Raw genomic sequence first — 15,409 nt, 5'->3', positions numbered from 1 at the left:
GACAGATGTCACCAGACAAAAAGCTGACAGGGCTCACTTCTGAGTACATCTGAAGTACCACCTCAAGATTTCCTTTTGCAAGAAAAGCTGTCCTAAATTAACAATGGAATGAAAGTTGCACCCATTTTAGAGATGAAGAAATCTTCTGGTATCTTCTATCTCCAGAGTAAAGCTTCTCCCTCTCCTTTATATGAATTATTTTTAATACACTTTTACATTTACCTTATAGCAAAATGAATGTTTATCTAATCCATTTGTAACTTTATTTATGTGATGTCTTGTGATTTCAATTTTAGTTAGGAAGTCATGATACAAAGCTTAATCTCCATTAACTGGGAGTAATGAGGGACAAGGTAATTGAGGATGAGGCCATAAACAGCCTCAACTTAGAGATAAAGCATAAAGTAGGTAGAAAAAAATTGAAGAAGAGAGATGAATTTCCAGTTCACAGTGACACACTGTCCTTTGGACTGGCGTTGGTGTACAGAGGGGGTCCTTAGTATCCATGCCTATGCTTTTTGATGCTGTAGTTGACATACAAATACAGATAACTGACCGGAGATGGGCTCTCTGGATCCTCTCTGTGGCATATCTGAAACATGAAGACAGAGAAATAAAAATCTTGAAGTCACTGGAATTGAATCGTATTAACAGCAGTGCCTAGTGGCAGACTAAGCATCTGCTTGGAGAACCAACAAAGCAGAGGTAGTGAAAATTGGCAATATTTGTGATAGCAGAACATCAAAATCAACCAGAATAGTAAATATTTAATTTCTATCTTCTTCTGCCCACAAATAAACCAAGGTCGTAATAAAATAAAATGAGAAGTTTTTGAGCTTTCTTTTATTCTTTTATTGATAGGGATATATATGGTAAGACTATACATATAAGTTTTAAATTCCACAGAGGGTAGTCAGTGCCCTACACTTTTCAAAGCTTAGTTCCTGTAAACTTCTTGTTCTTCTTTTCTTAGTTCTTCTAAAACTCTAATCACTCTTTCAGTTTAGGTCCCCATAGCCACCTTAATTCCTACTCTTTCTGAAGTGCAATTATCCTCTTTCCCTTTGATTCTCTGAATTCATCTTGGTACCTGTTTGGAGGTTCCAAAAACAAATGGAGGTTATGTTAAGAACCTCCATTATATAGTTATATTAAGAACTATAAAATCAAAAGTAAGAAAACATAGATCTCTTATACTTATTCAACATCCTAACAAAGTGCTTTCGTACCACTATTTGATTCTTTCTGGAACCTTAGGAGACACAGATATTATTACTTTTGTTATACAGATGAATAAATGTATCATAAATAACAATGATCACATGCTTAAACTGTAATACCTAAAGTAAAAAACTAGTTTGGTGCTCTGTCAAATCAAACCAGCTGGCTTGGAAAGCTGATTGAAAGTAAAGAATACAGATAAAAAGGTAGAAGAAAGACATACATTTTGGAGTCCAATTCAGACAAAGCCAACAATTCAATATTTTAATTAAATTAATCTGAGTTTATTTCTGTTGTTTGAAAGCAAGGTAATTTCTAATAAGAAAATAAGGTAAATTATATCAAATAGATCTAATGGATTTTTTTTAGTGAACTTCCATGTGATATTTATGAACTCATTTATTAATTATAGATGTTATCCAAAATGATGCCCATACAATAATTTAGTCATTCTAAGCATCTCACACATTGTCATGTTGGAACCAAATAGCCCAAGCTTCTCCTTACATCTCTCTGTAGCTAGTGTTTGCTTCTGATTCAGTAGAGGGTCTTGAGAGAGTGATGAGAAGTACATATATGGTTGCTGATAAGAATGGGCCTTCTTACCTTCCAATTAATATAACACAAATGTATTGGTTGTTATGTGATTCCAAACAATAGATACAATCTAATGTGTATAATTCTTACTGATCTTTAGTCAACAATCTAATGTGTATAATTCTTACTGATTTTTAGTCACTTATTTTGAGGAATGTACTGTTTTACTTTTACCATGTTTAATTCACAAATTATTTAATCTTTTCTCTATTATCTAACAGTACTCCACCAAAACTACAAACCCACCATCAAGAGTTAACTAGTTTAACTCAAAGATGAGAGTGATTTAGGCAACTAGTAAGTGATAATAGAAAGTGTAGAGAATTAATACCCGTATTTGAACCCCCTGTTCCAGCTAAGTGACTATAAACAGATCTTCCAATAGGTAAAACCTAACCTATGGAGAACTGTTTGCCTTTCTCTGAATCTGGGATACCTCGTTTAATTTTCAGTAACCTCATTTCTAAGAATTAATATCACAGATTTTCTTCCATTTCTTGTAGTCTTATATTTTCTTATATTTCTTTTATTGTTCTTCTTATATCATCCATGATACTGTGGGAACACACCACAAATAACTCTAAATAATTGTTGGCTTTCTCTTCCTTCCTAAGAAACATCTTTTTGCTTCTAATAATGCAAACTGCTCCTGATTTATAACCTCAGATACTTTAGGTAATACCAGTAACTTCAGGGTCAGTAGTGCCTGCAGAGCATAGCCTTGTTAATCAGTCAAAATGATTTCATGTGTTTTCTTAGCAGCATCAGAAAGGGCAAAGGATTTATGGGTAATATCATTTTATGTGTCACTGTGGTGTACAATATTGTCATCATGTGTTAAAACCAGCAATGGTCTTCATTGATTTTAATCATAGTCATACTCACCTCAATCTCCCCTGTGTGCTACCCCTCCCAAAAAAGATAAAAGAAATCTGAAGACATTTTGTATAATCACTTAAAACACTTTTAGTCATTATAAGTTTTTTAATGCTTTTATAGTTAACCAGGATAAAGTGCCACTTCTCACAGATCATATGTCTTTCTCACTAAAATTTCAACCAAAAACACTTAAGGCTATTGAAATATGTGCATTTTAAAGGTGGAGGAGGTTCTTATAAATAGCCACCAGTGAAGAGACTTATTTGCCTCATTTTTCTGGGAGTATTTTGTGTGTGTAATTTTATTCAATAGAGAGCTTACATTTTTATGGTGATTCATTCACATATCAGAAATTCAATAAAAATCCCATAGCCAAGAAGATAGACTTACAGGAAAGGAGTGAGGGAAAGATAAGCTTAAATTGAAACATGTCAGAGCAGATCAGTTGCCCCTCCATCACCCTTTGCATGAGCCAGCCACACTTCTCCAATAGGCTTGCTTCAGGAAAGGAGAAAGCTAAGCCCTCATCTACCGTTCTCTCAGTATGAAAGAGAGACATTCATTCATTTGCTTAATCAAGCTATCATTTGTTCTTTCATTCTTTCAACATTTAGCCAATGCACATTCATGGAATCACATCTACATGCCAGGTGGGATGCTGGAGTGAGATGTCAGAGGCTTCAATTTCACAGTCTTCTGCGGAAGTTAGATAAGAAGAAATAATAATGTTAGTAATATACACAAACTACTGGTACCCCAGAGGAGGGAGTGGTCAGGTCTGGTGGATTAGGTTTAACAGAAAACTTTTCCTGGGACATTGTCTTACCCACTACAGTATCCTCAGCACTTAGCATAGTGCCTAATACACAGCAGATAGTTGTAGTGGACACAAATATAGCAGCCTTCTGTCTCCCAGAAATTCCCCTGATAGTCATGTCATGTAATCCTCCTACCTTGGCCTCTGCTACCTACCCTCTTCTCTAACTGAAAGGTCTAAGTGATTAGACATTTGACCGCTACTGGGGCAATCATAATACTCTATTCCTTGGCCACAATGCATGATCAAAGAAAAAGCCCATGGCCCAAGCTGTAAAAACTAAGGTTCTTCTTGGTTACTCATTTATTCTTTATTAACTTTATGTATAGAAAGAGAGCGCTTTCTTTTCAGGTTTCTCTCATCCTATACCCAGCAACTATGTAGTGCTATGGTTTGAATGTGTTCCTCAAAGTTCATGTGTTGGAAACTTAATCCCTAATGCAACAATGTTGAGAAGTGAGGACCTTTAAGCATGAATGAGTAATGAAGGCTCTACTCTTATGAATAGATCAATGCCATGATCAAGGGAGTGGGTTAGTTCTTGAGGGAATGGGTTTCTGATAAAAGGATGAATTTAGCTTTCTTTATGCTCTCTTGCATTCTCATATGCTCTCTTGCATTCTCACGTGCTCTCTTGCTCTTCCACCTCTGCCATAGGATGACACATTATGAAGGCCCTTGTAAGACACTGAGACTATGCTCTTAGATTTCTCAGCCTCTAGAACCATAAGCTGAATAAATTTATGTACATTATAAATGACCCAGTCTGTGGCATCCTGTGTGGTTATAGCAGTATAAAATGAACTAAGACACAAAATGATAAACATTTAGTGAGTTCTCAATATGTATTTGTTGAAAAAATAATTGTGTAGTTGTGAAGTTGGTAGAGTGTGAATCTGGAACTTCTAGGTTTTGCACCTTTTGAAAAAGCCCATTCTAGGAAAAGGATGATGAAAACTAGAGGAAAAGTACAAAGAAAGGAGGAGAGAAAGGAAAAAACAGAAGAGTCACAAAGGCATTTATGAGCCTAGTTCTACCATATTTAATACCCTCTTAACTCCTTGCCTTCCCCACTAACATGCTTTAATAAACTAATTCAAGTTATTGGCACCTGGAAGAGTCCTAACACTGTATTCAATAAGTAGTTGTTGAAAGAGTGACTGAATGATAATTGAATAAACAGATTAATAAATGAACAAATGAAGCACATCTCTGCAGAGGGTACTACAAGCCCAAAACAAGCAGATGTGCCACAGCATCGTATGCTGGATATGATATTTTAGCCCACAGTATCTATTCTCACTCTCCATTTTTATCTTCTATGTGTACTGCAGGGGCTAGAAACTTCCTTGAAACCAGAAGTCTGTGAATTAAATTCAACTAATGAATGATATACAAGTTTGAGAGGCTTGAAAGGGTGATGTGGTTGGGATATTGTTGCTTCTGCTGGTTCTAGGAATTAAGGTGGGAATAAATACAAGCACTGAATTCCCAATTTTGGTCAGAAACTTTGTGGTTGTGAGAGACAGCTGTGGCAATGGCAGGGGGAGTAGCAGCTTCCTTAATGTGGTTCACAGTTTTTACTGACATGCCCTTAAAATTCTAGTCTGATGGGACTCCCTTGAATTCGTCTTCTTTAGCCCTTCCTACAGTGTTGTAAACACTCAGTTACTTTCTGATAAAACACCTGAAAAATTTCTGTTGTCTGTTGTAAACACTGAATTTCTTTCTTTTAAAACATCTGAAAACTTTCTGAATCCTGACTGATGGGCACGCAGGGAATTATAAAAGGGTAAGTATTGGATCTAATACAGTGGTTCACAAATGAGGGTGAAGAGCAACTTTGCCCCTTGGAGAATATTTGGCAATGTCTGGATACATATATATATACACACACACACACACACACATATACATATATGTGTATATATACATACATATACATGTATGTGTATATATATATACATACATATACATGTATGTGTATATATACATACATATACATGTATGTGTATATATACATACATATACATGTATGTGTATATATACATACATATACATGTATGTGTATATATACATACATATATTTGTGTGTGTGTGTGTATATATATATATTTGTCATGAGTTGGGAAGGTGGTGCTACTAGCATCTGGAACCTAATGGGTAGAGGCCAAGGAAGCTGCTAAACATTCTGCAATGCATAAGAACATACAGTAAAAATTATCCAGCCCAAAATATGTTAAGAATAAGGGTGACAAGCCCTGGACTAAAGCAATTTTCAACAGGTTGTAGCTACAGGATTAAACTCTTTATTATTAGGCAAGGCGAGATTGTGAAGTGCCATATATGGTGCTCGAAAGAATGGGCAGATCTCATTCTCCCTCTGACACCTCACTATTGTCCTTTTACAAGGTTTGGAAGGCTTAGGGCTCTAAATTCTGTTTTAATGTTTAAATATGAAAAGACTGCACTATTTTAATTTTCACTATAGAGATGTTCTTAAGAATTTCTCAGTCTTGGGACCAGCAACAGTCATTGATCTTAGTAAAAATTGCTTATAGGTATTACATATTACACTACAATGATTATGTTGTCATAAATGTCTTCAACCTAGAGGATCTCTGTAGAGAAATCATGCATGCATGCTACCACTTCGATAATGGTTCAGAACTATTATCGTTCAATGTACATTTATTAAACAATATATGAAAAGACATTAATTTTAACTCATCACAAGGCTACAATGACCTGAAAAAAATAAATGGTTTAAAGCACATGAGATCAACAAATATAACAAAAAAAGAGGCATTATAAACCTCCTGTATATGTATTCCAACCCTGATGTTTTTTAGTAAACACAAATGAGCAAATCTTGAAGCGACATGGGACTGTCCTGATTGTTTATCATGAAAATGATTCAAGGGTTAAAAGAGGATTTCTATTTGATAATCTATAATTGCTGATTTTACCAAGGTCAATACAGAATGATGCCAGCACAATGATACACAGGACAGCTGGGACCAAGAAATTTGAGAAGGTACAAATAAAAACTAAAAAAAAAAAAAAGTTTAATTTAAATTTTAAAAATGCATGTCAAAAGTGAACTGTTAAATATTCATTTTTAATGACTAAGTTCACAGTGCTTTCTGTGTGGTACAGATGGCACAGGGATTCAGGGCAAACAAAGCATCAATTTCTGCATACTCGTAGCTGCTCAGTCGTAATAGCCAGAGGCCCAAAACTCCAGGGCTTTGAGATGATTCAACTAGACCTCTTCTGCCAAAATCCGCTGGATCTATAGAGCTTCCATCATAATATTGAGGGTGAAGGGATAGTAGGAAATGTGGGTTGCCTTTGCTTTAACATCCATGGAGAAAGCTTTAGTTATTGGAAAATGACCATTTAAATTCCAATTAGAGATTCATTTATGAAGGAATAATGTTTTTGCAGGAAAGGAGGAACAGACAAAAATTTCTTACATAGTTTAATCCAAAAATTTTAACAAAAATTAAGCAAATGGAAAATTGTGCACATTTTAATCAGGCAGAATTTGTTAACTGATTACAGGAAATGGTCTGAGATGTTTAAGAAGCAACCTGGTTTTTTGTTGAACACAGGGGTATGACCTTATCACTTAGAGCTTATTCTTTGCATAATAGCTTGGAGAAAAGAAAGAGCCAAATGGCATCATCTTTCTCCCTGTCTTACTGTCAGGGGAGAGCTAATACTCATATAGTATAATAAAAAAGAGTATTAAACTGCATCTTTGAACAATCAAAAATGATGCACTAAATGAATACTGAATAAATGGCCAAAAGCTTTTTTTTTAACAGGAGATCATTTTACCATTTGCATTGTGTCAGAATAATAGACCAGACTTCCCATTCTACAGACACTTGATTGAGTGCCTACTATGCGCCATGTACTATTAGGTGCTACAGAAAAAATGCAGAAGTCAGTAGAAGAATGCCTTTCTTCCAAGCCTAGTAGATAAGATGAAACGAGAAACAATGTAACCAAAGTCTGCATACGGCATCAGTAAAAGAGTTTCGAGCAAAATTTCAGAGACTATATCATCACGGGTTGTAAATCTGGGAGGGTTTGATGGTGGAGGATGGTAAGAAAGGAATTGTAAAGAACTGGAAGGGTTTGAAATGACAGAAATGGGAGAGAACTTTTTGTAGAAAGAAATCAGTAATGCCAAAAGAATAGAAGACAGAAAAGATAATGGGCACATGCATGAATTAGTAGGTAGTCCGGTTTAGCTGGAACTAGTGAAACATGTAGGGAACTCGTTGAAAATACGTCTGAAAGGGTTAAGTCAGAGACAAATGGACTTCAAGATCTATAGCAGACCTTAGAAATCCTCCATTACACTTAAGAAAATAAAGACTCAAAAAAATTAGTTATGCAATATGATACAGCAAAGTGATGATCCTAGTAGCCAAGGATATATTATTTTGTGTCTCCTGAAAGACCACTTCCGTTGTTCATTCTGTATATTTTGCAGGGTAATCTGGGTGTTCTTAAATGCCAAGTAAAGAAGGTTGTACTAATTATTTAATGTGGTAAATCTTATAGAAGTACTAAATATCTTTGATAATGGAAATGAATCTTGAAAAATAGAAAAAGAAGAACAGAAGAAGCCTTTTGTAGAGATGTGATTGATGATTAGATTTTTAAAAAACTGGGTGAACCTTCCAAAGATCTACTTACCCTACACATAGACATAGAAACCACCTTTCATATACTTCAGGTTTTGCTTAACCAGTCTTTAACAAAGCTGTGAGATTATGCATTGAAAAATCTGTTGCAGAAATTAAAAACATCTAGTTGGAAAGATTCACAGCCCAACTGATTATAAGGATTTTTTGCTGATATATGGCCTGGTCTTAGTAATTCCTGATTTAGTCATAAGTGTGTGAAAATCTTAGGTAAACAAATCCCTAAGACGATTATGGGAGAATTCCAGCATTTATTAAGACAGTCACAGTTTATAAACTATATGTTTTTGAAATAGAAAAAAAAGTTTATTATATTTTAACAAGGATATCCATTTTGAATTCATAATATTCTCCAAAACATAACAGCATGCATGGCATATATATATATATACAGCATGCATGGCATATATATATATATATACAGCATGCATGGCATATATATATATATATATATATATATATATATATATATATATATATATACACACATGCAATTTGTCATGAATTTAAATAGCAATGAGTAAAATGTATTACCAAATTTGAATCTGACATAAATTAAAACTGAATGGGTTAAAGAAAATAATTTCAGTCTCAGGCCAAAATAATGCTCAAATACAATTTAATATGTATTTTGATTTTAATCTCAAAAGTTATTGCTTTATTTCTCTGGTCTTTTACAAAAGCAGATAAATCAATGTTTCATATGTGGCCTTTTCCCCTGGCAATCCCTAAAAAAGCTCCTCCCATTTACATGCCAATTTCAATTACTGATTTTCATATCTTGCTTCTCTTTTGAAGACACAATATATAAGGAAACATATTAACAAGCATTTATGTTGGGTACAACTAAAATGAACATTAAAAGGTTTACCAAACTTCACACCATAATTTCAACTAGAAACCTTGAAACTAGAATAAAAGTATTCATCATTTTAATAATCAATGCTGTTTAAAGTGTGTTGCATCATTATCTCTGTCACTAAAATAATCTTGTAAGTATCTATCATTATGTCATCCAAAGACTGAGTTGCTCAAAGTCATACATATTATCATTAGCTTTCACCTGGCTTCAGGCTCATACTCCATCCAAACCATTGCCATTCTGCCTTCCATCAGAAGAGTAATCAGGTGGTTCAGTGGCAAGAAGAAACATATTCAAGACAGCTCATGTGGAGGAGATTATATACAATGAATACTATTCAGCCATAAAAGAATGAAATAGTGTCTTTTGCAGTAACATGGATGGAACTGGAGGCCCTAATTTTAAGTGAAACAAGTTAGACCCAGAAAGACAAATACTGCATATTCTCACTTATAAGTGGGAGTTAAATAATGAGTACACATGGACATAGAGTGTGGAATGATAGACATTGCTGACTAAGGAGGGTGAGAGAGTGGGAGAGAATGAGAAATTACTCAATGAGTACAATGCATGTTATTTGGGTGATGGCCTAAAAGCCCCTGATTTCACCACTACATAATCTATGCATGTAAAAAAATTATACTTGTACCCCATAAATTTATACCAAAAAAAATGAAAGGAGATTAGGATTAGTATGGTTGTAAAAGAGAAGGGGAAGGCTCACGTGAAAAGCCAAAGTTGGCAGCAGCCATGGCAGGGAGGGCCGTGTAGGTCGTCTATTCAGAACTTGTATTTGGTGGGGATCCAGACACATAGCATAATGGCTAAGATCATAGTCTGTGTAAAACAGCTAGATTTGGGTTTAAACTCAGGTCTCCTCTCAGACGGTGTGTAATCTCGGCTGCTTGCCTAACTGTGTAAGCAATCATTTCTTTCGTAAAATGGGGATAAAGCAGTTTTCTTGAAGATTGAATGATGATTAAATGAAGTAATGCAATAAAGCACTTACTATAATGTGTCCATAATAAAGGCTTGAAATATATTATTGATTATCAATGTATAGTCTTTTCATGATACAGTTTTCTCACAGTATTTATGCAGGATTGCTTCCAGGACCCCACAGATACCAAAATCTGCCGGTGCTCAAGACTCTTATAATAATGTAGTGTTTGCTTATAACCTATGCAATCCTCACATATACTTTAAATCATCTCTACATTACTTATATCTAAAGTAATGTAAATACTATGTAATTGTTATACTATATTAATTTTTTATTTGGATTATTATTTTTATTTTTTCCCCAAATATGCAGATACAGAATGCATGAATACAGAGGGCAGACTGTATCTGATTTGGTGTCATCAACCTCCCATGATAAATCCAAAACTATCCTTCACAAACATTTGTCTACTAAAAGGAAACCACCAAATATTGCCTCTATGGGAACTTCTCTGTATCAGTAAACTATTTTTTGTCTTCATTCAACCAGTAAGAATTTATGGAACATGCACTTTATTTCCAACACTATGCCAACGACTGTAGATTATGGATATTTAAAATATGTTTTTTAATCCGGAGGAGCTTGCACAATAAGAAGGTAGAAGAAAATGAAGGTGGCTGCTATGTGGTTGCATTTTGTGTCAGGAAAAACGGAAAGCCAAATAACTCACTGGACACTTATTGCATTCCAAGCATGATACTACAGATGGTTCCCAACTTGCGATGTTTCAACTTAACAATTTTTTGATTTTATGAGGGTGCAAAAGTGATATGCATTCAATAGAAACCATACTTGAATTCTGAATTTTAATCTTTTTCCAGGCTAGTGATAGGAGGTACAATACTCTCTTGTGGTTCTGGGTAGCAGCAGGGACCCGCAGCTTCCAGTTAATCCTGTGATCACAAGGGTGAGCAACCGGTTCTCTACTGTGTTGCCAGATGATTTTGCCCACCTATAGTCTAATGTAAGTGTTCTGAGCACATTTAAGCTAGGCTAGGTATTTAGCAGGTTGGGTATATTCACTAGGTTGCGTATATTAAGTGCATTTTTTACTTAAAGTATTTCAGCTTACAATGGCTTTGAAGGATTGTAACCTTATCAAGAGTCAAGGAGCAGCTGTAGATATTTCCGTGCATTGTTATCAGAACTTAGTCCTTAGCAGACCCTCATAAATAAGGCTGGGATTTTTGTTCTGATAACAAGTAAGGAAAATGAGCTCAGAATCGTCCAATAGCTTTTCCAAGTTCAAGCATTTACTAAGATGACAATTCATCATCGAAACACTCACTCTGAGCTCTTTCCATGTACAATGCTTCCTTTCCAACTCTCCAAACTGTACTACTTTTAGGTCTAATAAAATGAGGACCAGAAAGTGATTTTTGTGTTTAGCAACAATAAATTTATTTTTGACCTTGATGAGGACAGTTTAGTAAAGTAAAGGAAGATGCTAGTGGAAAAGGGGTGAAAAACGGTAGCTGGAGAGGGTGTAAGTTGAGGGAGAGATTGTTTTAATTTCTATTTTATTAGGTCTTTCTATAGCAATGAATACTTGATTTCTTTTTCCTTTTTAAAAGCATCTTTGTTTTTAACCACTATGTCTCAGACTTTGAGGGCTTCTGTTTTGCTGGTTATCTCTTAAAGGTTAGGGCTCCGGGATACACAAAATCCATGCTCCAGTGAGATGACTTAACCCTGGTTCTACTTGAGATTTTATTTCATCTTTCCAAAAATATTTTGAGGTAGGCATCACTTTATAGATGACAAACAAAAACAAAGAACTCCTTGAAGCTCAGAGAAGGTAATTTACCTAAAGTCATGGCTAGTAATTGATGGGTATAAGATTGGGATAAAGGTCAGTTTGACAACAAAGCCATGTGTGCTTTTTACCATACCAACTTTTCTAGAGTTCCTAAGGCATGTAATTAAACATGGGCCACCTACTTGGGATTCTCAAGACTCACACTGGCCACCACCTTCTACCCCTTGACTGCTAAATCACGGAGGGTTAGTCCTCAACCAGCACAACTGAAACATTAGGGGAGATCAGAACTTTGAATATCTGCTCAAGCTAGCTCTGTAAATGGTCAAACAACCATATCTAAAAAGCCCCAAGTTTGTCTCCACATAAAATCTTACACCTGGCTTATAGGCTACTACAAATCTCTAACTCTTGAAAGAAGCACAAAACCAAAGACACCAATAGGCTCACTGCTTGACAGTTGAATCTAGAGATCATTTATAAATCTGCCACATGCTGTAACTATGACCGTAAGCTGTTCAAAGTTAGTTACTCTTGAAGATGAAAAAATTTACCAGTCCATCAAAATATTTGACCAGACTTGCTTAGCACTTCAGTGATAACAAAGGAGCTAACATCCAAACTATTATTTTCCTGGGTTGCATTCATGGCACTGACAATAATATCTCCAATGTGTTCTGAATTCTTCCCACACGTATTACTTTTGATCTTCAAAGGTACAAGGTGGTAAGTGAAATAGTACATGGAGTACAAGCAGTTCTCTACAAAAGGCTTTTTCAGAAGCTTTAATTTTTTCTTGCCTTTCTTGGTTTTCATAGTAATGATTGGAATAAAACAGAGACACTTTTCAGTGATAGAATTAAGACCTCTCTTCAGAGTAAATCCTTCTTTACTTTGCCTCTTTCAAGTGCATGAAAAGAGCTGCTAGATAAGTTTATTTAATCACTTGGAATACGTCATGTTAACTCAAGGAAGAAGCAAAGTGCCTGAAAAGCCAGAATAAACTGTGCATAACTTTTTTTTTTCCCCTCACAAAATCTGGTTCCAATAAAAACCATCTTTACTGCCTGAGGCTAATGTGTAAGTTAGTGAGAGATTACGGTCTGGTTTTTATAGCATTTTATGTAGTATTTGACAATCCATAGGGACCTTGCCTGTTAGCCCTTTACAAATATAAAATGTAATTTTAAATTTCACTTCATCATGGTAATAGGCTATATAAGCTTTCTTTCTAAAGCCTACAGACCATCCTGTCACCTCAGGGAGCCTCAAACAACCTGACTTAATCACCTCTTGGTGACTCATTGCACTCTGCTCACTCTTTTAAAAATATATAAATCCTAATTATTTTTAAAACCCTTTTAAAATGAGCAGTTTTTATGTACACACTCAGGCTAAGTGCGCACACACACACACACACACACCCTAGATAGGTAGGAAGACATTCTTTATCTTTGAACGATTGTATTTCTTTCCTATGTATATTCTCTCCTATGCCCTTCCTTCCCATTTGTAGTAAAGTCTCTTTAATGGAGAAACTTGGTTCAGGCAGGCAGCTAATCAGCCAGATCCCTAATGGGAAAATAAAATAGTGGCAATCACTTGTAGTGTGATCCTAAGGTGCATACAGTGTAACTACTGAGGCACACAACCATCTCAAGAAGTAGATGATTTTGTTGGTCAGTTAGTAAATAGATGAAACTACTTCTGATAACATTTTATAGATGAGGGAAGAAAATTTCAGAGAAATTGACTTGTTCAAGATCTCAAGGTCAATACTTAGCAAGAGGTGACATTAGGTCTTCTAGTATTTAGTTAATCCCTACAATGTACCTCACAGCCATCAAAATTGTTAAGTAACTTCCATACCTCCTAAACAGGTTACGTCTTGTCCCTATTGGAGTTATTTGTCATTTAATTAGATACTATATTTAATCAGAACATGGTCATTGCAATTAATGGTTAATACCAAGGTACTTATTATTTCCTATAGTGTGACACTCTATGCTGGTCACTGTCATGGCACTTCCCCTGTATGAGCTTAGCAATAAGATAAATGTGCCCTTTGCAACTCCCATCATTCCCCGCCCAAGGTCTAGGATTGCAGTGCTCTCAGGCTAGATTCCTCCCAGGAGCCTGTGAACTCCACAGTCAATCCTGGAGCTCAGAAAAACCATTTTAAAGATGGGCCACATTATGTAATCTTGAAACCTGGGGTTACTAGTCCAGCATTTGCTCCATCTTAATGTCACAACTTCTTGGACTATCTACTCTGAATCTAATTTTACCAATTTACAGACTGAACAAGTAGAATCCCACTCCAGCTAGTCAACCTAAGGTTTAGAGTGTCAATACCTCAAAACCTACCTTAAGCTGTTCCAAAATCTCAAAAACAGAATTCTAGTACACATCTAATGGTCTGATGGACAGAACCCTCTTTTTTTTTTTCTAATTTGCTTCTTTGAATGCGAATGCATTATAACTCGCAGCTGAATACTTCCATAAAGATAATTACATATGGCAAGACAGAAAAACTTTTTGAAAAAAAAAAAAAGACATTCCCTTGAATATGTGCCTGAATTCATTTACAACTGTTGCTGCTTTAAACACTTCAGGCAGAATAAGTGGATGGCACTAAACAGCTTAGCTGCAATTATTATGGAATGTCTGAGGTATAATTTCCCCTGCGGTTTTGTTAGGCGTACAAAATTCATAATTCTGATTTGTGGCAGGTACTTATTACCCATCACAGGTGGGGATATGCAAATATTATTCTAGTAGGGGTGAACAGCCTTTATTTCCGCATTCAGCTATTAACGAGATTTGTGAGTCTGGTACTCTGGGGCCATTTAATTAATTAGATGGTACAGATAAAATATAAATTGTTTTGTAGGCTACACAATTCCTGTCCCAGGAGGTGTAAAACTGAAGCTAAACTAACTTAGTGTGGATTGATTTGTTGATTTTTATATAGCTCCCAGTAAATGTAAATCATTACTTTTATGTAATGATTTATGAAATGTAAATCAATACTCATTATTTCACTGTATTAATTCTACTCATAATCCTCATATTCTCTAAGTTTCATTAAAATAGATGTATGTATTTCACTATTTTGTTAAGTGACTTTATCACTCAATCTCCATGTCCGTGGTGGTAAGTCCTCTACTATACATGGAATGAACAGTATAGCAGATCTTTCAAAAAGTTTATCATATTCTTAAGTAAGAAGTTTTGTTGTTAATTTATAATATTATCTATGTGGAAATAATATATACCATGATAAACCCTGTGGAATTGCATGACATTTAATGAGTTTTATTGGGATTAGTCAAGAAATAATGCAACCTCTACAATTACATCCACATAAGAGAATGTTTCTCATGCATTTGATAACTCAGGGAGATGAGTTTGCAGTTATATAATCAATGGTAAATAAGTTTAACTTTTTCTTTGTCTTTATATGCTGGGCATTTGGTGCCTAGCAGGACCATGACAAGAAAAATTTGGAAACTTCCACTGATAACAGTGGAAAAAGGTGCTGTGA

The 15,409-nt window shown here is 35.2% G+C and overlaps 1 long non-coding RNA gene across 1 annotated transcript in view; it reads right to left on the bottom strand.

Moving 5' to 3' along the window:
- Window positions 1-244: 244 nt before the first annotated feature.
- LINC02790 (long intergenic non-protein coding RNA 2790) overlaps window positions 245-15,409 on the bottom strand; it is a 30,813-nt gene continuing 15,648 nt past the window's right edge. The window contains exon 5 of the long non-coding RNA NR_125991.1: window positions 245-592. This is a non-coding gene — a long non-coding RNA (long intergenic non-protein coding RNA 2790). The remainder of the gene's footprint in view (window positions 593-15,409) is intronic.

This window comes from Homo sapiens, chromosome 1 (assembly GCF_000001405.40).
Source record: "Homo sapiens chromosome 1, GRCh38.p14 Primary Assembly".
Classification (NCBI taxonomy): Eukaryota; Metazoa; Chordata; class Mammalia; order Primates; family Hominidae; genus Homo; species Homo sapiens.
The sequence above is the reverse complement of the archived record's forward strand: the minus strand, read 5'-3'. Positions and strand labels throughout refer to the sequence as shown.